At 35.3% G+C, this 24691-nt stretch overlaps 1 protein-coding gene and 1 long non-coding RNA gene across 24 annotated transcripts in view; one reads left to right on the top strand and one right to left on the bottom strand.

Annotated features, from left to right (window-relative positions):
* Positions 2–21046, top strand: LOC101929298 (uncharacterized). The gene is made up of 3 exons (XR_427389.3): positions 2–91; positions 3275–3374; positions 20884–21046. It is a non-coding gene; the product is annotated as an uncharacterized LOC101929298 (long non-coding RNA).
* ARL6 (ARF like GTPase 6) overlaps positions 20536–24691 on the bottom strand; it is a 36722-nt gene continuing 32566 nt past the window's right edge. For 8 of the 23 annotated variants that reach the window (XR_924186.4, XR_924185.4, XR_924188.4 and 5 more), the window contains one exon: positions 20536–23754. Coding sequence is in view for 8 of the 23 variants with exons in the window: in XM_017007311.3 (XP_016862800.1) it covers positions 23729–23754 (26 nt within the window). In the remaining 15 variants the exon portion in view is untranslated. The remainder of the gene's footprint in view (positions 23755–24691) is intronic. The other 15 variants (NR_136595.2, NR_136598.2, NR_136597.2 and 12 more) reach the window with 3 other exon arrangements.

The raw sequence follows: 24691 nt of genomic DNA, 5'->3' as shown, positions 1-24691 counted from the left end.
ATTACTTTCTGTGACCGTTGTGTTTTCTATTCTACAGTCAGAGCACAGAAACGGTTTTCTTCGGGCTTTTGAAAGAGGTTTATGAACTAAGGTTTGTGAAAACACTTGGCAAACTGCAGTACCGGGGCGCCCCGGACTTGCTGGGAGCTAAGAAACAGCTACCGCAAATACAGCTCCAACCCTGAGGGCGAAAGTCGCGTTAGCACAGAACCGGGCGGCGGGAGGGAGAAGGGGGTACCTGTCAGGCGGTCACCACCTCCCGGCGCGTTCTGCTGGCTTTCTGTGGTGTGACTTTTCCTAACCGCGCTGTGCTTCAGACTTTTCACACGCCATACTTCCCTGCGAACTCTTTCAAAAACGGCACTGATCAAAAAGTATGATTTCAAGCTTGTCAATGCTGCAACATATTTTGCAGTCGTTACACAGATGCCACTGAAATCTGGGAACCAAAGGGTGCTTAAGACTTGTTTTAAGTCTAAGTACAGTGGTATGGATTTTTCTTGGTTTTTCATACCCTATAGCAGCTAGTACAGGAGATACTGAGAGGCCCATTCACCCCAAGTGTTTTGTTTTTGTTTGAAGGCAAGCTGCCCCTGGAGTAGACGTCAAGGAAGTGATATGGCTTTTGTTCATTAAAAAATGTATACAAGTAAATGAGATAAAAATGAAATGTCCACAGCAGAGGGGAGCCTTGGAGTAATCTCCCCTCTGGCTTTCGGGTGCTGGAGGAGAAGGTTGCTCATAAGTAGATTGCATACCTATAAGCCCCAAGTCCTTTCAGCACCTGCTGGAGGCTATTGAGCCTCCCTGCCTCCCCACGCTGCCTCCCAGAAGCCCTCCAGCTCCTACTAACTGCAATAGAGCCAAGACACTCATTCTCATTTGTTCTGGCAGGATTTAACCCATTAAAGTTCAGTCAGCCCGATTTCCATCAATCGGGTTCATCTCAGTCTATCCCTCAAGATTAATCCTTTTTTACTCTTTGGTAAATTTTTCCTATTTCTCTGTGAGCCTAGTCTGAGAAAATAGAAAAAGACTAAGATAATAGACTAGAATAAGACAAGTTCCCAATTCTAGCTTTATTATTTTATAAGAGAATCTCCACTGAAGACCCACTTACCAAAAAGCCCAAAGAGAGTAATAAAGCAAACTGTTTCTTCCAGCTAAAAGGCCCAAATGATAATTTGTCTTCCCAACGTATTATTGAATGACTATCACATTTGTCCCTGACTTGTTCTGTGATCAAACCAGGCCCCAGTGCCTACCCAGAGGGTACTTCGTTCAGGAAGTTTTTCTTGGAATAAAAATGGGGGGGAGTCAATAGGATTTAATTAATGAATTATGGTTTTAACTAATAATATATCTAACAATACTCTGATCTCCACTCGGTAGCACAGCAAAGCACTTAAGTGAATGGTAAATACAAATAATGCCATGTTTACACTAAGACAAATTGCGTCTATGACAAAATAGCTTAAAGTCATAAAACAATGACCATTGAATTTTCCTTCATTTGCTTTCTGAGCACTTATTAGTTTTCTATATGTCCTACATTGTTATAACCTGAACTCATATGAACAAATTTCTAAATACTAAATTCTAAGATTGCATTAGGAAGCCTGTAAAAATGTCAAATTTTAGAGCTGTAAGGATCTTAGAGATACTAATTTAGCACAGTGTCATTAATTCACTGATCCAGTTATTCCCCGACGTTTAGTGAGTGCCTGCAGTAGAAGCACATCTACAGTGAAGCCGATGAGGCTCAAGTTTCTTGGCTCCCTGCTGGCACAGTCTCTTCCAGTGTGAACTCAGCAATGGGATCCATGGCCAGTTTTATCAAATTTACAAAAGTAAATGTTTTAATGTGATTAAGACCACAATCTCTTTTTTTTTCCACTTAGATGTCCACTTAGATTTTCTTTTCCACTTAGAGTTATCAAGAGCATTTGGGAATCTGCTAGGGAATTTCAGTTGGGAATATATTTAGTTTGGACTTAGTGGAATATATTTATGTGGTTTCCAGCCTCTCCAAAGTATAGTTATTTCTTAAATTCCAATTTGTTTGTAGCGCAGCTCACCAAGTATTACACCCAAGATGCAGAGCCAGAGGAGATATATTCTGTGGTCTCTGACACTGAAAATATGTGGGTAATAGAGGTGAGACAAGATTTGAAAGGTAAAGCAGCATCAGGTGTCATGTGGAAAATTATTCCAGGCATCAGAAGACAAAGTTTCAACAGGAAGGATTGCCTCCGATTGATGTAATTTCTCTCATAGCAATAATATATTCAATAATGCAGTATATTTAATTTTTTTTTTGAGACAGAGTCTGGCGCTGTCACCTTGGCTGGGGTGCAGTGGTGCAATTTCAACTCACTGAAACCTCCGCCTCCTGGGTTCAAGCAATTCTCCTGTCTCAGCCTCCAGAGTGGCTGGGACTACAGGCGCCCACCACCATGCCCAGCTAATTTTTGTATTTTCAGTAGAGACGGGGTTTGACCATATTGGTCAGGCTGGTCTCGAACTCCTGACCTCAGGTAATCCACCCGTCTCAGCCACCCAAAATAATTTTTATAACTGTAAACACAAAACATTTTTTCTTGTTGATGTAAACCATGTAAAATAGAATTTATCAGAATTCTTGTTTGTAGGGTACAAACCTGTAGCAGTACCACAAGCTTTGTGTGTGTGTGTGTAGTACTGCATGTTTACACAGCCTTTCTATCAATAAGAAAAACAGAACTAGAGGAAAGATTGCATTATCTTTTCATTATTATGGAAAATAATATTACTAAATTATTGTCATATGAAAGGCTATTGAAGAGTACACTGCCAAAAATATAGGAAAAAAAGTGATTGTGCAAGGCATTTAGTAAGAAAACAAATTGTTTTTCTAGTCAACCTTTTAAAATTAGTAATTTGCATGGTTTATGTTTTCATTCAATATATTCATTTTTATATCTAATTTTCTTTTAAATCCTTTTTCTTTAAAGAGGACCCTCCAAATTGTAAAAACTTCAGATCCCACAAAACCTGGATATGTCCTCTAGTGCATACTATGTGTCAGATACATGCTCATTCTTAGACATAGAGATACGGTGATAGATAAGACCAAATGCTTAACATCAAGGAGCAAGTTTAATTGGGCAAGATGAGCAAATGGGGTAAGATGGGAAACATAGGACGGATCCCCAACTTAATCTGAAGGGTTCCTGGAAGGCTCACTAGAGGAGATAACTGTTAATATGCTCTCTTCTTCTCTGCCTCCTTTTAGCACCTGATTTCCACCTATAATACTGTAATTCAATAACTTGTGTGATATATGAGAAATCCTGAAGTTCATCACACTGTAACTGAATTGCCATTCCCACAACGTAAGTACCATTCTCAAAGGTATGAGAATAGAATGAAAGTGTTGATCCTTGAAGCATTTAAACTGCAAGAGTAGTTTAGTAATGCTAAGCGTTTTTGTTCTGAAAAGTCCACCAGGGAATAAGCTTCTGTATATATCTTAGAGCACAGTATTTACTGTGTGGCAGGTGGCCCAGGAATATTAAGACAGCTGTCAACATCAAGGAAAGCACCAGCCCATGAAAAAGCAAGCAGATGGATTGGGGCACTTCACTAGCTGCCTCCTAGAATAATAGCTGTGCGTGGCCAAATGAGGCAGTGTCATGCGGCCCAGGGCAGCAAAAAGCTATTACTGAATATAAGCACTCAATTAGGAGGTGGGGTGGGGGGAATATCTTCTCTTTTCCTTTGTTTATATGCTCAAATTTTCATTAAGAACTCCCACAGCAAATAAAAAAGGGGAAAAATGATGTTAGCATTTCTCATTGTTACTTTCTAATTATCATGGTTTGTAACATGGGGAAATGCCTGTCTTGCTGCTTCAATGAGAACAGATGGTAAAATTTTTAAGTAATTGGTTATTCCAACTTCTATGAGATGCATGATGTTTTATTGTATTGTTTGTCTGGTTTTTGTTTGCGGAACATGTGGAGATTGAGATCTTTCGAACACACATCTTTTAATGCTTAAATTAAGTAAAATGTGTTAGTCTGACCTAAACTACATTTACACTTTTCTCCCTTTGATATGATGATACTTCAAAGAGAAATTAGTCCTTTACAAAAATATAACATTAACATTAAAAATTAAATATATAGCTTTCAAACAGCACAAAATTTGCTAATATTGAAACGTACTTTTAAAAATGTATAAATAGGGGTAGCATGTCTTTGACAAACACTGATTATAACATGTGTTCCAAAATAGTTGTTCACACCAATTCAGTGTGATGTGTCTTTTATCTAAGTCAAATGCTATCTAAAATATAAGGTCATATGTAAGATATTAAGTTTTATTAATGGAGCTTCATAAGCATGACGTAGATAATGGCTCAGAATAATAATTTACTATTAGATGAGAAATTCATCCTCTATATTGTTTTCCCAAAATATTTCATCTGACTTCATAAACTCTGCACTGTAATATGCACTTCTGATATACAATTTTAAAAGTATTCCATAAAGAATGATTATTTATAAATTTCTAGACTGCATTATATTACTGTTAGTTGTAAGTTTTGTTTCTTAGGGCTTTATGAAACAAAGCTTTGGAGCAAAACAAACAAAACAGAAAAAGTGGCTGTGAACTGGTTTCCTTTTTATCTTATTGTGACGTTTTATAGTATACATGTCCCAGAAGCTAGAGCTTTCTTACTATGGGTACTTTGTTCTCAGTTTGATTTCTTGCAAATGGTTTAAAAACAAGGCATAGTGGCAGCTGCTTTTGTGAGCAAATGTTTTGATTAGGGAGAGAAAGCAGCTGGAAATGCTACATGCTGTCATATAAAATGAACCAGTTTTCACATGGGAACTTTACCTAATCTAAAATTGAGATTAACGTAATTTCCTGTACATGAATTTTCTTTGCATAGAATAAAATAGAAATCTATTCACTTTGATTACAATTTGGAGTGATGAAATGATGAACATAGTGCTGAATATAAACTTGACATGTCTATGGAAATCTTACTCCATTCTGAAAGAAAGTATCATTAACAAACTTCCAGAAAAATTTATTTAAAAATATTGCTAAAGGTAGTAGCAAAAAAAAATCCATATGGAGCTTATAAAACCAAATGTTACTATAGATGACATAATTTTTTACTTCTTAAAAATGGGGCAAGTACATTTCTTAATGACCCCACTTTCATTTTGAAAGACCTGTAAAAAATTATTTAAAGTATAACTTAACTGGATTTGCAAATAATGAACAAAAGAACCAGACAGCAATATTTTAATTAGTTTATCCTACCAATTGAATTCCTTCCTCACCTCTTCTAGTCAGCTTTTCACTGGTAAAGGAAAAAAGCAGTTACCTATGAAAAGAGGTAAACAGAAGACAAGAAGTTAGGTTTTCTTCTTTGTTTTGCCCCTTACCATGACCTCTGGAAATTTTATGAATGAGACTGCAGATACTAAAATGTGTTTTATTTGTCCTTTTGTTTTTGTTTTGTTTTTGGTTTAGGGATGGGCTCTCTTTTGCGCAGGCTAAAGTGCAGTGTGATCTTAGCTCACTACTGCATTGTAGCCTCGAATTCCTGGGATCAAGTGATCCTCTCACCTTAGCCTCGCAAGCTGAGATTACTGGCACAAGCCACCTTGCCTAGCTATATGTCTTTAAAAAAAAAAAACACATATCAACATGAAAAAGATGTAATAACTATTATTTAATGTACTTAGTCACATTTCCACGATTATTTCTCACTTTGAAAATTACTGGAGGCCAGGCATAGTGTCTCACACCTGTAATCCCAGTACTTTGGAAGGCAGAGGCAGGAGGATCACTTGAGCCCAGGAGTTTGGGACCAGCCTAAGCAACAGAGTAAGACCTCATCTCTACTAAAAAGAAAAAGAAAAACATTAGCCAGGTGTGGTAACAAGCACCTGTAGTCCCAGCTCTTTGGGAGGCTGAGATGGCAGGATTGCTTGAGCCCAGGATGTTGAGGTTGCAATGAGTCATGATCATGCCGCTGCACTCCAGAGTGGGTGACAGAGCAAGAACCTGTCTCAAAAAAAAAAAAAAAAAAAAGACCAAAAAGTTACTGGAAAGGATGTTGAGTACTTGACTTTAAAAGGACAGTAATTTCTATCCAAACCCCTGTTATGATGGGGTTTGATTAGTCACTGCAGAAGCACTCTGTTTAGCAAAGAACAAAAAGCAAAAGGAATGATATTTTTATAAGCATTCAATAGAAATTTTTACTGAAATATCAAAGTAAAAAGAATTCTCAATTGATTTCATATTAATAACCATTCTTAAGTTTTCATTCATTTCTATGTCCTATCTTCTATTTCATTTTTATTCTTTTCAGTTCCCCAAATAAGCTCTTCTAAGTAGTCAGTTTCTATATAAGTCATTTGGTCTACTTCTCATACAGGTAAATGTATTGACATACTGCTTTTATTATTGAGTACAGAAGACAATTAATGAACAAATTGTTTTTATGAACCATGCAGTTGGTATTAACTTTAAGTAATGCCAAAAATTGGAATGGTGTTTTACCTCCATCTGACTCAACAGAAACTCCACTTCAAATGATCAATTATATACATCATGAAATGAAAGAGCTGACCATACTACAATATAAAATCTGTCTCTGTAAAAGTATCAGCCACAATGCAGTCTGAGGGAAATAAACTTACTGAGTTCTGCCATTTTCATTCCAGTACTTCCCACCATGTAAGTGTATTCTATAGGTAAATTTGACTTCTGTAATTGAAGTAAAACCCAGTCTAATTTAGAATAGGATATATCTTTAAAAAATTAATTCATTTTAGGGGGGTACATGTGCAGGTTTGCTACATGGCAATATTGCATGATGCTGAAGATGTACCTTTAAATAAAATTTAGCAAATAGCTACAGGCAGGTCACTTGCCTAGTGGCTCAGGAAGGTAGTCAGAGAAATAACAAATACATACATACATATTTTCTGAAAAGTCTACTAATCACTCTACATTTCAGAAAAGTCTATAAGTCATTCTACATTTCAAGAAAAAAAAGAAAAGAAAAAGAAAACTTCTGAAATAAAGATCCAGGTAGAATCTAAATCATTGACCCTGAATTTATTCCTTTTGTGTTAGCTGCTTTGAACATGATTAGGGAAGTTTGTGGGAGGAATATATATTGAGAAACAACAACAACAAGTTATATGTTTCAAAGAAAGAAACATACAACTCAGCAACAGTTATAAGATTACAAAACAGTGTGATAAATATGAACAGGCATGTCTCCTTTCATAGCACTTTATTGTGCTTTGCAGGTAGTGTGCTTTTTACAAATTGAAAGTTTGAGGCAACCTCTTGTTGAGCAAGTCTATCAGCCCCATTTTTCCAACAGCATGTGCTGATTTCCTGTCTCTGTGACACATTTTGGAGATTCTTTGGAGAATAAGTAATAATTCAACTTATAATAATTATAATAATTCATCATTATTATATCTGTTATGGTGATCTGGAACAGAGGTCTTTGATATTACAGTTGTAATTGTTTTGGGGTGCCATAAACCACATCCATATAATGTAGTGGACCTAATCGATAAATATATGTGTTCTGACTACTCCGTGGACCTACCGTTACCCTGTCTCTCTCCTTCTCCTTGGTCTTTCACCTTGGGCCTTCCTATTCCCTGAGACACAACAATATTGAAATTAGGCCAATTAATAACCCTGCAATGGCCTCTAAGGTTTCAAGTAAAAGAAACACTTGTGTATCTCTCACTTTAAATCAAAAGCTAGAAATGATTAAGCTTAGTGAGGAAAACACGTCAAAAGCTAAAACAGGGCAAATGCTAGGCCTTCTGTGCCAGACAGTGTTAGCCATGTTGTGAATGCAAGGACAAACTTGAGGGAAATTAAAAGTGTTACTCCAGTGACTACATAAATGAAAAGAAAGTGAACCAACCTTATTGCTGATACGGAAAAAGTTTTAATAGTCTTGATAGAAGCCACAACATCCCCTTAGGCCAAATCCTAATTCCCGGCAAAGCCCTAACTCTCTTCAATTCTATGATGGCTGAGAGAGATAAGCTGGAAAAGAAAAGTTGGAAGCTAGTAGAGGTTGGTTCATGAGGTTTACGGAAAGAAGCCATCTCCGTAACATCATAGTGGAAGGTGAAGCAGCAAATGTTGATGTAGAAGCTGCAGCAAGTTATCAGAAAATCTAGCAAAGATCATTCATGAAGGTGGCTACACTAACAACAGATTCTTAATGTAGATGAAACAGCCCTATATTGGAAGAAGATGCCATGCAGGACTTTTGTTACTGAGAGGAGAAGTTAATGTCCAGCTTCAAAGTCTCAAAGGATGGGCTGATTCTCAGGGACTAATCAAGCTGGTGACTTTAAGTGGATGCCAATGCTCATTTACCATTCCGAAAATATTAGGGCCTTTAAAAATTATGTTAAATCTACTCAGCTTATGCTATAGAAATGGAACAACAAAGCCTGGATAACAACACATTTGTTTACAGCATGGTTTACCGAATATTTCAAGCCCATTGTTGATACTTACTGCTCAGGAAAAAAAAAAATTCCTTTCAGAATTAGTCACTCATGAGCTCTGATGGAGATGTACAAGATGAATGTTGTTTACATGCCTGCTAATACAACACCTATTGTGCAGCCCATGGATCAAGTAGTAACTTCAACTTTCTAGTCTTATTTTTTAAGAAATACATTGTATAAGGCCAGAGCTGCCATAGATAGTGATTCTTCTGAGGGATCCGGGCAATGTCCATTGAAAATCTTCTGGAAAGGATTCCAGATGCCATTAAGAACATTCATGAGGCCGGGCACAGTGGCTCACGCCTGTAATACCATCACTTTGGGAGGCCGAGGCAGGCGGATCACGAGGTCAGGAGATCGAGACCATCCTGGCCAACATGGTGAAACCCGATCTCTACTAAAAAAAAAAAAAAAAATACAAATATTAGCTGGGCATGGTGGCACACGCCTGTAGTCCCAGCTACTCAGGAGACTGAGGCAGGAGAATCACTTGAACCCAGGAGGTGGAGGTTGCAGTGAGCTGAGATCATGCCACTGCACTCCAGCCTGGCAACAGAGCGAGACTCCGTCTCGAAAAAACAAAAAACAAACAAACAAACAAACAAACAAAAAAAAAATTCATGATTCCTGTGAGAAGGCCAAAATATCAACATTAACAGGAGTTTGGAAGAGATTGATTCCAATCCTCATGGATGACATTGACGGGTTCAAGACTTCAGTGGAGGATGTAGCTGCAGATGTGCTGGAAATAGTAAGAGAACTAGAATTAGACATAGACCTTGAAGACGTGACTAAGTGGTTACAGTCTCACCAGAAAACTTGAATGGATGAAGAGTTGCTCCTGATGAGCAAAGAAAGTAGGTACTTACTAATAACCGTATATCTAATTTAGGACTAAAATCAGGTGTATGCAAGAATCAAAACAATCTGACAGCTGTGTGGCATTCTGATATGAATTGCTTTTCTCATAGCTAAAAGTTGTTAGGTTGAAAGTATTACTATCATGAAATCCTAAAAGGAACTTGGTCCATCTTTATTATTAAGAGTTAAAGTGTTTATTTTAATTGGTAGCAGTACTGTATTTTCTAATATATCTACAACTTCACTCTTGGTGAAGATGCTGTGAACGTTGTTGAAATGACAACAAAGGATTTCAAATATTGCATAAACTTAGTTGTTAAAATAGGGGCACAGTTTGAGAGGATTGATGCCAGTTTTGAAAGAAGTTCTACTGTGGGTAAAATGCTGTTAAACAGCATCACATACTACAGGGAAATATTTTGTGAAAGGAAGAGTCAGTCAATGTGGCAAACTTTGTCGTTGTCTTCTTTTAAGAAATTGCCACAGCCACCTCACCCTTTTGCAACCACCACCCTGACCAGTCATCAGCCATCAACATGAAGGCAAGACCTTCTACTATTATAGCAAAAAGATTAGAGTTAGCTGCTGTCTCAGATAATAATTAACATTTTTAAGCAATAAAGTCTTTTAAAATTAAGACATGTACATCATGGTTTTAGACATAATGCTATTGCATACTTAATATACTATAGTATGAACATAATTTTTGAATGCACTAGGAAGCCAAAAAGTTTATCTGACTTGCTTTACTGCTATATTCATTTTATTGTGCTGGTCAGGAACTGAACCCGTAATATCTCTGAAGTTATTCCTATACTGGGAAAAGGGAGGAAGAAATGCCGAATCATATGATTTGGGCAGGCTGTGCCTGGGGTCCTGGGTGGATTTCACAAATCACAGCTCTAGAAGCATGGATGGAAAACTTGCAACCAGAACCCAGTTGAAACACTATTTAACAGATTTTGAATCTATTGAAACGTTTATATTAGGAATATTACACTAGTCAAAAAGCAGTATAAAAGATCAGGAGTGCAATAGTAGGCCAAAAAAAGAGATAATTTTTGCTTGCCTTCTGATTTGGTGAGGAAATATGGCAGTGAGTGAGTGCTACTACATTGTGAATCATCAAATACTATGTGTAATACAAGAACATACAAGGGCTTTGGAATGTTAATATGAAACTACCTTTAAGTGAACTCTTTGCTGCATTATCTTGACCTTCTTTAAAATAATTGTATAATTAAAAAGTAAATGACAATGACAAGGTATGAGAAATAGGCAGATGGAGAAACTGCTGCACTGATCCTAATGTGACCTACATAATTTAATTTATAGCTGCCAATTATTGCTTGAGACAGGTTAGACGAGTGAATCAAGCTGGAGAAGTCTTACTAATAACCATGTATCTAATTTAGGACTAAAATCAAGTGTATACAAGAATCAAAACAATCTGACAGCTGTGTGGCATTCTTACATGAACTGCTTTTCTCATAGCTATTACCTGGAATTCACTCAAAAGTTGGCAGGTTGAAAGCATTACTATTATGAAATCCCAAAAGGCACTTGGTCCATCTTTATTATTAAGAGTTAAAGTGTTTATTTTAATTGGTAGCAGTACTGTATTTTCTAATATAGCTACAACTTTCAATAATTACTTAATTTATATAATAAGTATACATACATTTCCCATATTGGTTGCAATTATCAATCTATTCAGGCAGTTTATTTTTATGAGTGATACCATTTCAGGCATTCTTTTTTGAACATACTCATCTACCTTTTATTCTAATTCTTCAATATGTAAAATTCAATTTTCTCTACATTGTTATTTCATATAAATTTTTTTCTAAATATTTTAATTTTGAAAATATTTCAAACTTATTGAAAAATCACAATAGTATTAAGAACTTCTTTTTATTTCCTGAATCATTTGAAATTATGTTGTCAAAATGAAGTCCTGAATACTTTGATGTGTAACTCTTACAAACATGACTATTCTCCTAAAATCCTAACTGCAATTCCACTCTCAAAATCAAGAAACTAATGTTGACATAGTCTACCACCTTATCTGCAGACTCCATTTAAGTTTTGACAATTATCTCATTAATGTTCTTTTTAGCAAAGTGATCCAGTCCAGAATCACATACCGCATTTAGTTGTTATGTCACTTTCGTCTCCTTTACTCGGTAAAAATTCCTCAGTCTTTCATGACTGGGACTTTCATGACTGGGACATTTTTTTACTCTTACAGGCCACATTTTGGTGGAAGCAGGATCTTTTTATTTGGAAATGCCTGGTGTTTTCTTATGGTTGGATTCAGGCTGTATATTTTTGGCAATATCCCAAAAGTAATGCTATGTTATCATTGTGTCAGGTGGTACCTAATTCTTTTTTCTTTCTTTTTCTTTCTTTTCTTTCTCTTTCTTTCTTTTCTTTCTCTGTTTCTTTCCTTTCTTTTTTTCTTTTTCTTTCTCTCTCTCTTTCTTCCACCCACCTTCCTTCTTTCCTTCCTTCCTCCTTCCTTCCTTCCATCCTTCTTCCTTTTCCTTCTATAATGCTCTGTTCTCATTGTGTCAGGTGGTACATGATCTTCCTTCTTCCCTCCCTCCCTCCCTCTCTTCCCTCCCTCCCTCCCTCCCTCCCTCACTCCCTTCCTTCCTTCCTTCCTTCCTTCCCCTTCTTTCTTTTCTTTCTTTCTGACAGCGTCTCACTCTATTGCACAGGCTGAAGTGCAGTGGTGTGATCTCTGCTCACTGTACCTTAGACCTCCCAGGCTCAAGCGATCCTCTCACCTCAGCCTCCTGAGTAGCTGGGACTATAGGCATGCACCACCCAGCTCACTAATTTTTGGAATCTTTGTAGAGATGGGGTCTCACTATGTTTCCCAGGCTGGCCTCAAACTCCTAGGCTCAAGTGATCCTCCTGCTTCAACCTCCCAAAGTGTTGGGATTACGGGCGTCTGCCACCACACCAAGCTAAGGTACACGATTTCAATTTGTCCCATCACAGATAATAACTTGGATCACTTGATTAAGGTGATGTCTGCAAGCTCCCTTAATTGTATGCTAGCTATTTTTTTTCCTCTCTGTAATTAGTATTTTGTGGAGAAATAATTTGAAGCTATATAAATATCCCATTCCTTGACAACATTTCATTATTATTTTTAGCATCCATTGATGTTTCTAGACTGAATAAATTATTACAATTATTGTCAAATGGCGATTTTCTCATTCCAACATTCTACATTTATTTGTAGGTGTTCTAATGTTATCTCCCCATTAGTCATTTATTCACTTATTTGTATCATATAGATATATAAATTCATATTTCATTCAATGAGTTATATAGTCCATTACTATCTTTATTCATTTTGATGTTCAAAATGTCGCAGGTGTAGCCAGTTAATGCCCCTTCAAACTGTCTTTGTGTCCTTTTGCTATGTCCACATAATTATTTGAGCATTTTTTAACTTTCTGGAAAAACAAAATGTTCCAGGCTCATTCTGTATTTTTTCTGCTCCATTATGGAAGTAGCCATTTTCCCAAAGAGCCCTACTTCTTTTTAGTGGAGAATATAACCAAGATACCTACATGTGGGTGCCAGGTGTTCTCATTGCTGTTGGAGTCACTGCTCTTAGGCACATACACAGGTATATACACACAAACAGCATCTTTATCTCTGTATCTATATCTCTCTCTTTCTACCCATTGAAATTCATGTGCTCATACCGATACCTCCAACTGTAATACAACAATCCTTCTAGTTTTCTTTCCACACCTGTAACTCTCTTCTCCTACACTCTGGAGGATGACTCCCATTATTGTCAATATATTATTAGATTCTTTCCTTGATAAATGTTACTAATCATCTGTTACCACCACCACCTCCCTGGACGTCGGGTGTAGAAGCCCTCTTTACCCTTCTCAAGCTCCAACATCCCATGCCAGGCAATGTACATGCCTTCATCATCCTACAGGTGTTCCAACAACTGGTGCTAGGCTGCTCCTGCTGCTCTATCATCACCTCCCTACAAAGATGCGTAACTTGGTTGGCGCCACATACCATTTTGCATTCTCCACCAGCATTGTGTGAGAATTCCAATGATTTCATGTTCTTGCCAACACAAGGTATTACCAGTTTTAAAAACTGAAGCTATTTTAGTAGGTGTATAATGGTAATAAATCATAGTTTTTATTAGCATCTCCCTCATGATTAATGATGTTAAGCATCTTTTCCTGTATTGATTGACCATATTCTTTTGTGAGGTATCTACTCAAGTGGTTTGCTCATATTTTGTTGTTGTTGGCTTCTTTCTATTGATATATAATAGGTCTTTATATATTATGCAAGTTCTTTGTCAGATATATATATTGTGGATTTTTTTCCTGTTATGTAGTTTGTTTTCCATTTTTAAAAATTGTACTGTTTGTCTTACACTTCAAAAGAAGTTGTAGTTGTTGGGTGTAGTGTTCTACACATATGAGTTGGGTCTATTTGGCTGACTGATTCAGATCATCTATGTCTACTGTTTTTTTTGTTTTGTTTTTTTTTTTGTCTAGTTATTTTACCAATTGCTCAGTAAGAGGTATTTAGATCTCCTACTGTAATGGTGAAATTGTTTATTTCTCCCTTTATCTGTCAATTTCTGCTTTATGTATTCTGAAACTTTGTTACTGGATGCACACACATCTGTGATGAATGATAATAAAATGTCTTTATCGCAGTTAATTCTTTTTGTTTTGAAGTCTATTTTATCTTATATTAATATATGCACTCAAACCTTCTTATACTTAATGCTTCCGTAATCTTTTTTAATACATTTACTTACAACATGCCTGCATCTTTATATGTTAAATGCATTTCTTGCAGAGAGCAGATAGTTATGCTTTTCAAAAATTCATTCTGCTTATTTCTAACTTTAATTGGAGAATTTAATCCAATTAAATGTATTCCAAGTATTGATATAATGGTATTAAGGACTGTTTCTTCCTTCTGTGTTTTGTTCCTTTGTCCCCCCTTTCCTTATTACGTGGATTAATTGAATATTTCTTAAATTCTATTTTAATGTATTGGCTTTTTAATATTTCTTTTCCATGTTTTTAAATAGTTGCTCTAGGGATTACAATATGCATCTTTAATTTATACTGTCTATTAGAGTTAATATTGTATCAATTCTTGTAAAATGTAGAAGTTTTACAACTGTTTGGGTCCTTTATCACCCTCACCATCCTTTTTTATTACAGTCATCATATGTTATTTGTATATCTACATACATTATTAGCCCCACACAAATATGTTATTCTTTTACTTAAACATTCACATGTATTTTATGGGTACTTTTTAAAAAGCCTTCTACATTTACTCATATATTTATCATTTCATTACTTCTTGAAAATTAGACTTTTCCTTTGGTGTAATTTCCCTCCACCCTGCAGAATTTTTTCTTGGTTTCATATCTTAGAATTCTGGATTAACTTTCTTATTTTTCTTTCAACACTTTAAAAAATACTGTACTACTGAATTTGGCAGGGTTTCTAATAAAAATCAACTTTTTTATATCAGTTTGTATAGAAACTTATTTGTATCACTTTTACTCTATAAATAAGGTTTTCTTCCCTCTGGATGTTTTTGATATTTTCTTTGGTTTTCAGCTATTAGCTTTGCCATATGTAAGTTTATTTGTTTTGTATTTACTCTATTTGGGGGTTTCTGAGCTTTTAAAATCTATAAATTATGCCTGTCATTTAATCTAGAATGTTTTCAGCTATTATTATTTCTTCATAAATTTACTCTGCTCCATTCTTTCTTTCCTATCTCTGTGAGCCTCCAATTGCATAATTAAAAAATCTTTTTCTATTATCCCACAGGACCCTTAGGGAATGGCTAGTTTGTAGAGCAGTCAGAACATGCACATTTATCAATTAAGTTTGCAGTTTTATATGGGTGAGTTTCATGGCACCCCAAAATAATTACAATAGTAAAGACCACTGATCACAGATCATCATAACAAATATAATAATAATAATCATGAAGTTTTAAATATTGTGGGAATTAGCAAAATGCGATACAGAGATACAATATGAGCAAAAGGTGTTGGAAAAATGGTGTTGATAGACTTGCTCAACACAGGGTTGTCAAAAACCTTGAATGTGTAAAAAACAGGTTTATCTGTGAAGCACAATCAAGTGATGCTCAATTAAATGAGGTATGCACTATTATTTTTTCTGATTGCAGTTCATTAGTATACTAGCTTAATATATGACTATACATTAATATAAATTTAGCCCCTTTGAAAAACAATTTAAAGTAGGGCTAAAGAAAAAACAAAATCATGAGTTAACTGAATATAAAAATTTCCTTAGAGTAAGACACTCTTAGCATGATAACTTTTCATTCTGTCATGAAATAATCTCATGCAGGCATTTTTCTCAGTTTGTTTCTGGGAGGTAGAATATATTAAGAGTGAAGACAGAAATTTAAATAAATATAAAACTGATGTGATTAAGTTAGATAAAGAGTACTGTATAATCTTTAAGACAAATTTAGGTCTTCTTTGAGGTGACAGTAATTTGAATGTTATATCAAAAGGAAATATCATTGTAGGCTCAATAAATATAGTTGCTGCTTGCATACTCCTTCTACTTTAGGGAAAGCCTTATTCATATAAAGACTAAGAACCTGCTCACTTAGTATGATTTGGTTGGTACTGATATCAATGGAGGCTTCCACCTCAGGATTTTCCTGATCTCTTTCAAGAAAGAGTCATAGTCTATTTATACCCATTCCTCTCATAGACAATTGAGTATCTCTGTTATATCTAAAGTTCTTATTAAAAGAAAAATACTGCCTCTTGTCTTTATATAGATTCACACTTCATTTTAATCAGTAAACATATCAGTAATATTTTTTCTGAAGTCCTATGTTAGATATATTCCGTATTAGAAAAGACAAACTTTTAACATTAACAAGATACCATGTAAATATAGGGTCTTAAAAATCTTTTCATTTATTCTTAAAAAATCTTGTGCTGCTATGCATAAATAAAATGAAATTATTCACAGTATGGGGGTTTTACAATGTGAAAAGCAATAAGTGATATTTTATGAAACTATAAACTCACTGATTAGAGAGAGTATTTAAGATAATAATAACCCAGCATCTAAAAATGCACTAAAAACACTATCAAATGTATAATAAAGTTCCCAGAAATGGCAAGAGGTAAGAGCTGATGTATCATATTTAAGAATTACAAAAAACAACATATTTTTTTAAAACCCCTAAAACTTGGTAAGAATAGTATACTTGCAAGACATAACTATAAATCTGCCTAAGAAAGTCCCAGGGAAGAGTTAGTGATCACCAAAGTGTGAGCTTGCTATGACTTTAGGAAGGTGCATGCATCCTGATACACATACACACACACACACACACACACCCACAGAGCCTAAGAAGAGTGTGAATGTGAAACTGGCTTTAACTCCAATAGTAATGATTACATTTAATTGGAGGACACATAAATCAATTTTAGTAATGTAACATTGATACTTCATAAATCATTTGGAAGAATTTATAAACTTTTCAAAGAGATTATAAGAGACAGACCAAATTCTGAGCCTAGTCCTTTGTGGACATGTTATTCGTTTAGCTAAATGGCAAAGGTTTAGAACACTGACGCATGATCATGAAATGTTTGTAATGAAGTAAACATTCTTAGCTGTACTTGTTACATAACTCAAAAATACAAATATCTACAAATTGAATTATAAAAATGTTTCTACTGCAGGGAAGTTTAAATTTTTCCCGATCTGTTCACAGATTAACAGGAAAAAAGGCATACAAATTTATTTTGTGCAGTCATGTTCACAGGAGTCACACAAAATATAAAAACTCAAAGAAATGGCCATATGGAGTTTTTATACTATCCTGACGCTACAGAAAGAATAGCTAGAAGCTTCACCCAGAAGAGTTTATGGTGGCAAGACAGGTTATGGGAGCGGGGAAGAGGAGGCTTGGCTAGCAAAGGTCATCTGGTTATATAGATGAAACCTCACAGACAGCAGAATCTCAGTTAAAGGTGTCAGACTCTCAGTTAATCTTTCCTTGATCCAGACATGGGAGGGCCTCAGAGAAAGCCTGGCTGCATCAGTGCAGATTTTCTCTACAGTAGAAAATCGTTCCCACAAAAGACAGCTTTGTAGGGCTACTTGTGTTTGCAGGCCCTCTGCATAGCTTTCTCAAAATACACCAAATAAGTATATTTTGGCGTGAAATATTTTTGTTTCCATCACTATATTCTAACATATACATTTCAAGACTATCAACAGTAGCTATCATTTACCTCAAAATATTGGTAAAAATCATCAGGGAATCTGAAAGTCCAAACCAGATGCTTGGGGACAATTTGTATGTGTGATTATACTTTTAAAAGTTAACATATTTGATGCTTCATAATCTGCCTTATCTCTTGCCACCCATTTAAAGAAAAGGAAGAATAAAAACCAGAAGGCCAAGACTTCATACTTTTCATTCTTAATGGGAAATTAAAGGAATTTCAAAGAGCATTGCTTTTCAGCCATTTGCACCTAATTTTTCATTTTTAATACAATTATTTAAGAAGGAAGTAATTTCAAATTGTTCTATTGCAATTTAGAATGTTTAGCTTTGCTGCGAAGCTATGTAAAAGGTAAGAACACAGATTCCAGAGCCAGATCTTGTAGACTCAAAATCTGGTTTCTTCCATGTATTTGCAATATGCTATCTCTTGCCTCACTTTATCATCTGTTACACGGGTCAACAAACTTTTTATGTAGAAGGCATCAGACAGTATACATTTTAGGCTTTACAGGCCACATATAGTCTCTGTTGCTTTTTTTTTTTTTTTTTTTTTTTGAGACAGAGTGTCACTCTGTTGCCCAGGCTGGAGTGCAGTAGTGCAATCTTGGCTCACTGCAACCTCCACCTCTTGGGTTCAAGTGATTCTCATGCCTCAGCCTCCTGAGTAGCTGGGACCACAGGCACATGCCACCACACCTGGCTAATTTTTGTATTTTTAGTAGAGACGAGGTTTCCCCACATTGGCCAGGCTGGTCGCGAACACCTGTCCTCAAGTAATCCACCTGCTTTGGCCTCCCAACGGCCGATTACCTGCTGGGATTACAGGGATGAGCCACCATGCCTGGCCTAACAACTCTTTAAAAATGTAAAATACTTCAAACTATACTACAAGGCTATAGTAGCCAAAACAGCATGGTACTGGCACCAAAACAGAGATATAGACCAATGGAACAGAACAGAGCCCTCAGAAATAATACCACACATCTACAACCATCTGATCTTTGACAAACCTGACAAAAACAAGAAATAGGGAAAGGATTCCCTATTTAATAAATGGTGCTAGGAAAACTGGCTAGCCATATGTAGAAAGCTGAAACTGGATCCCTTCCTTACACCTTATACAAAAATTAATTCAAGATGGATTAAAGACTTAAATGTTAGACCTAAAACCATAAAAACCCTACAAGAAAACCTAGGCAATACCATTCAGGACATAGGCATGGGCAAGGACTTCATGTCTAAAACCCCAAAAGTAATGGCAACAAAAGCCAAAATTGACAAATGGGATCTAATTAATCTAAAGGGCTTCTGCACAGCAAAAGAAACTACCATCAGAGTGAACAAGCAACCTACAGAATGGGAGAAAATTTTTGCAATCTACTCATCTGACAAAGGGCTAATAGCCAGAATCTACAAAGAACTCAAACAAATTTACAAGAAAAAAACAAACAACCCCATCACAAAGTGGGCGAAGGACATTAACAGACACTTCTCAAAAGAAGATATTTATGCAGCCAACAGACACATGAAAAAATGGTCATCATCACTGGTCATCAGAGAAATGCAAATCAAAACTACAATGAGATAACCATCTCACATCAGTTAGAATGGTGATCATTAAAAAGTCAGGAAACAACAGGTGCTGGAGAGGATGTGGAGAAATAGGAACACTTTTACACTGTTGGTGGGACTGTAAACTAGTTCAACCATTGTGGAAGTCAGTGTGGCGATTCCTCAAGGATCTAGAACTAGAAATACCATTTGACCCAGCAATCCCATTACTGGGTATATACCCAAAGGATTATAAATCATGCTGCTATAAAGACGCACACGTATGTTTATTGTGGCACTATTCACAATAGCAAAGACCTGGAACCAACCCAAATGTCCATCAATGATAGACTGGATTAAGAAAATGTGGCACATATACACCATGGAATACTATGCAGCCATAAAAAAGGATGAGTTCATGTCCTTTGTAGGGACATGGATGAAACTGGAAACCATCATTCTCAGCAAACTATCGCATGGACAAAAAACCAAACACCACATGTTCTCACTCATAGGTGGGAATTGAACAATGAGAACACTTGGACACAGGAAGGGGAACATCACACACCGGGGCCTGTCGTGGGGTGGGGGGAGGGTGGAGGGATAGCTTTAGGAGATATACGTAATGTAAATGATGAGTTAATGGGTGCAGCACACCAACGTGGCGCATGTATACATATGTAACAAACCTGCACGTTGTGCACATGTACCCTAGAACTTAAAAGTATAATAATTTAAAAAAAGTAAAATAAACATTAAAGGCAGTACAAAAATGAGTTAGCAGTTTACTGACACTTGATCTATATAATAGAGATAATACCTCACAGGGTTCTTATGACAATTAAATGAATATATGTAAAGTGCTTACAAAGTATGGGCACATTGTAAAAGCTATGTTTATCATTACTACTATATTTCTAATCAAATTTTATTTTCAAAATATCTAGTATTCCTGGGTGACTTTTAGCATTACTTGGTGATTTGAAATTTGGAGACAGATTTTATCTTTCTTGGTTTATTCTAAATTGCCAGAAAAGCAGTTTAACATGGTATGCCGATGAAGCTTCTAAATCTGGCATTGAAATCAAGTGATTGGAAGAAAGAGCCATAAAGGTTCTGAGGCAGGCGAAGCTGAGCAGGAGCATCCATACGGAGAAAGATGAAAATGTAATAACTAAGTAACCTGAAACATTCAATTAAACACAATAACCATTTCTTAATCACTGTAGTATTTCTCTCTAGTCGCAGACGTACACAAACCTATTTATTTAGGTGACCTTGTAATACCAGTCATTTATTTTCATGAACAAAGGAAATAATCAGAAAGCAGAAAATAGGTACAAACTCAGTTACAATGCAATAGTATTTTAATGCACATGCACCAGAGTTATAAGCAAGATGAATTTGCCTTAAGTATTGCAACTGACTGAATGTTTGTGTTCTCCCAAAATTTCTATGTTGAAATTCTAACCCCCTATGTGATGACATGTGATGATATTAGGAGGTGGGGTCTTTGGGAGGAGCCATGTGAAGATGTAATGGGATTCATGCTCTTATCAAACAGACTCCAGAGAGTTCTCTTGTCCTCTTTTGGCCATGTGAGGATACAAGAAGATGGCAGTCTGCAACCAAGACGGCTCTCACCAGAACCCAACCATGCTGGTAATCTGATCTCAGACTTCCAGCTCCAGAGCTGTAAGAAATAAATTTCTGTCGTTTATAAGCCACCCAGTCTATGGTACTTTGTTATAGCAACCTGAAATGAATAAGACAAGTATTATCAAGAGTAACTGCACATATTTATGGAAATCACAACATGATATAAAAAAATTACAAAGAAAAAATATCTTAAGGAGACAATTTGTAACTTTTTCGCAGAGAGCTTAGAAATAAAAAACAAACATATAAAACCCAGCTCTTTTGTGATTTATAAAGCACAGGCTGAATAGGGCCATATACAAATATTTAAATATTTAACATACAAGAGGATAAGTTTCAAACATTTTTACAAGGTGTTATATTCAAATACAGAGCTTAATGAATTAAACTCTGTAACACACTGATGTCTAGACATGAAAGAAAACTTGCTTCAGGTTTAATAAAATACATTTTAATTGTATAATATGCTAAATACAAATGCAATAATCTCAGCTTATTCACACTTATATGACATCCTGTGACTACACTGTTGCCCAACTTCTACATAATCTTTACATGAAAATGTGGAGTAGGGATGGATGTTTATAGACTAAAAACTAGATTTTGGAGATCATGAAAACAAAGAAAAAGGGTACTTCTCCTTCTTCTAAATATTTGCATAGGTATGAGCTACTGTAGTTTGTGGAATACCAAATAATTTAATGTCAAAATAGTTTTAAGGACTTTTATCAAAGTCATTTGTATCCAGAGTTTAAAATTTGAGTAGTGTTAATAGCTTTAAAAGAAAAAAAAAGAAAACAAAAAAAGCAAAGAGTAGTCTCTAGTCTCTGACCTTCCCTCTACCATCCCTGTCCTGGTTGCTGTCCCAAGTAAGAGCCTTTTCTATCATTTTAATTGTTATTCTGGCAGATATATCTGTATTTCTAATATCTATCATACTCTTGAATCATCTGTCTTAAAACAGACTGCTTGGTACTGAATCCTAGTACCAGACTTACCAGCTTTTTGAACTTTGGCAAATTACATAACATTTTAACGCCTCAGTTTACTGATCTATAAAATGGAAATAATAAAACCTGCCACATAGGCTTATTGGGAGGATTAAATGTTGAAAATTCTGTATGTGTAATACCTGCTTATAATATAATGATCATATAGTAGTAACTATTATTAATTTTATTACTACCTTATGGTAAGTGAGTGAGGATTTGAATTCTCAATCAATTCTTTCTCCATCCTAAAATAGTTGTAGCATATCAGTTTTTTAAAAAATTACATTCATTGTTTCCATCCTTATGTCCTTCCTATATCTGCAGCAACTTTAGATTAATGAGATTTTCATTTTGTATCCTCTAAAACAATTTACAAGAGAGATGGTAAACTAGCTAAGATGCTGAGCCATTGGAATTTTCTGGGTAACTTTCAATTTGCCAAATGCCAAATCACTGCTATTTCTGGACTATAAGAAACTGGAATATAGAACTTTTATTGTAGCTTTATGTGCTTTTATTAAAATCTTTGTGAAACATGTACCACTACTGCAGTTACTATAACATCTTTATTACTCACTTACTTTTGCCTTCTATTTTCATCATTTTCAAAGCTAAGCATACTTGAGATGGTATATATTGTATATTACAGTTTTTCTTTATATGCAGTGTTTATCAGGATCAACAATATTGCTCTATATACTGTTGCTCAGTGATTAAAATGAAGGTTTCTATTTAGAGTTCACAATTATAAGTGTTCTCTAATTTGTGAGAACTAATAATTTGTGTGCCTGAGATATGTCTAAAATTCTAAAGAACATTTATGTAGCAGTTATGTTCATGAAAAAGTTAAAAGTCACAATTTATTTTAACAAAGTGCTATGGTAAATTGGAGGCATTTAAAAGTGAAAAACAAGATGTCAGTAATGATTACTGAACAGTCAAATATTAATTTACTTTATACCTCTTAATCTGAAGATGCAATATTTTCATTCAGCCAATGAAATAAAATTAGATACTATCCATGGAAAGGTTCTCAAATTATCCCTCATTAAATTTTAAGTTCTCTGAAGATAAGGATATGTCTTATTTACCTCGTAACATCATTGCCTAGGACTATGTCTGACTAGTTGGTGTAGAGATGTTCAACATACACTGAATAAATAAATTCAGCTTAACTTAGTCTCAGATGGTTTACAAATGCTTGACAGTATGACACGAAATACCATACTAACAGAGCATTATTCTTTTCAGCATAAACAAAGCGCACTAGTTGGCACATTATATTTTACATTTTATTGACAGTGACACATAGTAAAAATTGAATATATATTAATTACCCATGGTCCCTTATAAATATTTAAAGTTCTTTTTCACAAGCACAATTCATACTGCAAAGTCATAAACTAAATTTTTTAAAAAGACAATTAAAAAATAAAATATATTAAACATATCATAAATTATGATGGGATGAGATGGCTTATAACTGACTTTTAAACATTCTACGTACAATCAAATGTAGACCTTCACTAAGAACTTGATAATTCTAGGGAGCCCTTTTGAGGGAATATTTAGTTTTTAAATAATTAATGGCCAAATTAGCATACCTGAAGTCCTATGTTCTTAAAAAGGTCAGAGTCCATAAATGCAAGCAGAAAATTATATTTTTTGATGCATAAACATCTTTTACAAAATGTATTCTATTTGTCTTAGATAGATTCCTTGAATTGAAAATTGCTGAGGTTTCCAACTATTATCTTTTCATGTCTTCACAGTCTGGATCTGATCTGATAACAAAAAACAAACAAAAATTATCAATCTCTATAGGGCAAAATCTATTTTCTAAAGTAATCTAAGTCAAATCTATACAACATGTTGGAAACTTATGTATACATGTGCTTTTGTTATTATTATTTTTTAGAGATAGGATCTTGCTATGTGGCCCAGGCTGTACTGGAACTTCTGGGTGCAAGTGGTCCTCCCACCTGAACCTCTCTAGTAGTTGAGACTACAAGTGTGCACCAGGTCCAGCTACACCTGCTTTTTTAAAAGCACAATTCATCTATAGTTATTATTTTTATCAAAGTTGTACATTTGCATAGAGTCAACTAGTTCTATGAGATTTCTAGGCAAAACAGCAGTACTTTGCTTCTTCTCCATTCCTCCCTTTCAGGGGCAACTACTTATAACTCCCTTTTAGATGAATACTTATAATACCTCTAAATAATATACTTTTATTGTTACTTCTTCAAATATCATTTCCTTCAATGTAATATGAGACATCAGCTCTCTCACACTCCCATGCTGCTCCTAGGCAACCCTCATAATACTTCTAATACCCCCATTCTCCTAACACACTAATATAGTCATTGTCAATATGATGACTCTGTAAATGCTATTCACAGCTAAGACAGGTGGTATACTTTTTCTTTCCTCTTCTATATTTTATCCCTCCTAGAGTTAATAATTGTCTTTCCCACTCCCATCCAACTCATCTATTTAATTGTATGTACTTAACACTAATTCAATTGCACCACTCCCAGAGTTTAAACCTTTATTACTATGAAGTACATTACACAGTCCATCTACTTTGCCTTCTTGAAGAACTCTTCCACAGAGTCTTATAAAAAACTCTAGAATCTATACTCATTTTCTCTATGCCTGCCACAGTCATTTTGTTACAATATCTTCCTTATCATTCTAGGGTCTCCATTAATATCCTGG

The sequence above is a fragment of the Homo sapiens genome, chromosome 3 (genome assembly GCF_000001405.40).
Source record: "Homo sapiens chromosome 3, GRCh38.p14 Primary Assembly".
In the NCBI taxonomy this organism is placed as follows: Eukaryota; Metazoa; Chordata; class Mammalia; order Primates; family Hominidae; genus Homo; species Homo sapiens.
The sequence above is the reverse complement of the archived record's forward strand: the minus strand, read 5'-3'. Positions and strand labels throughout refer to the sequence as shown.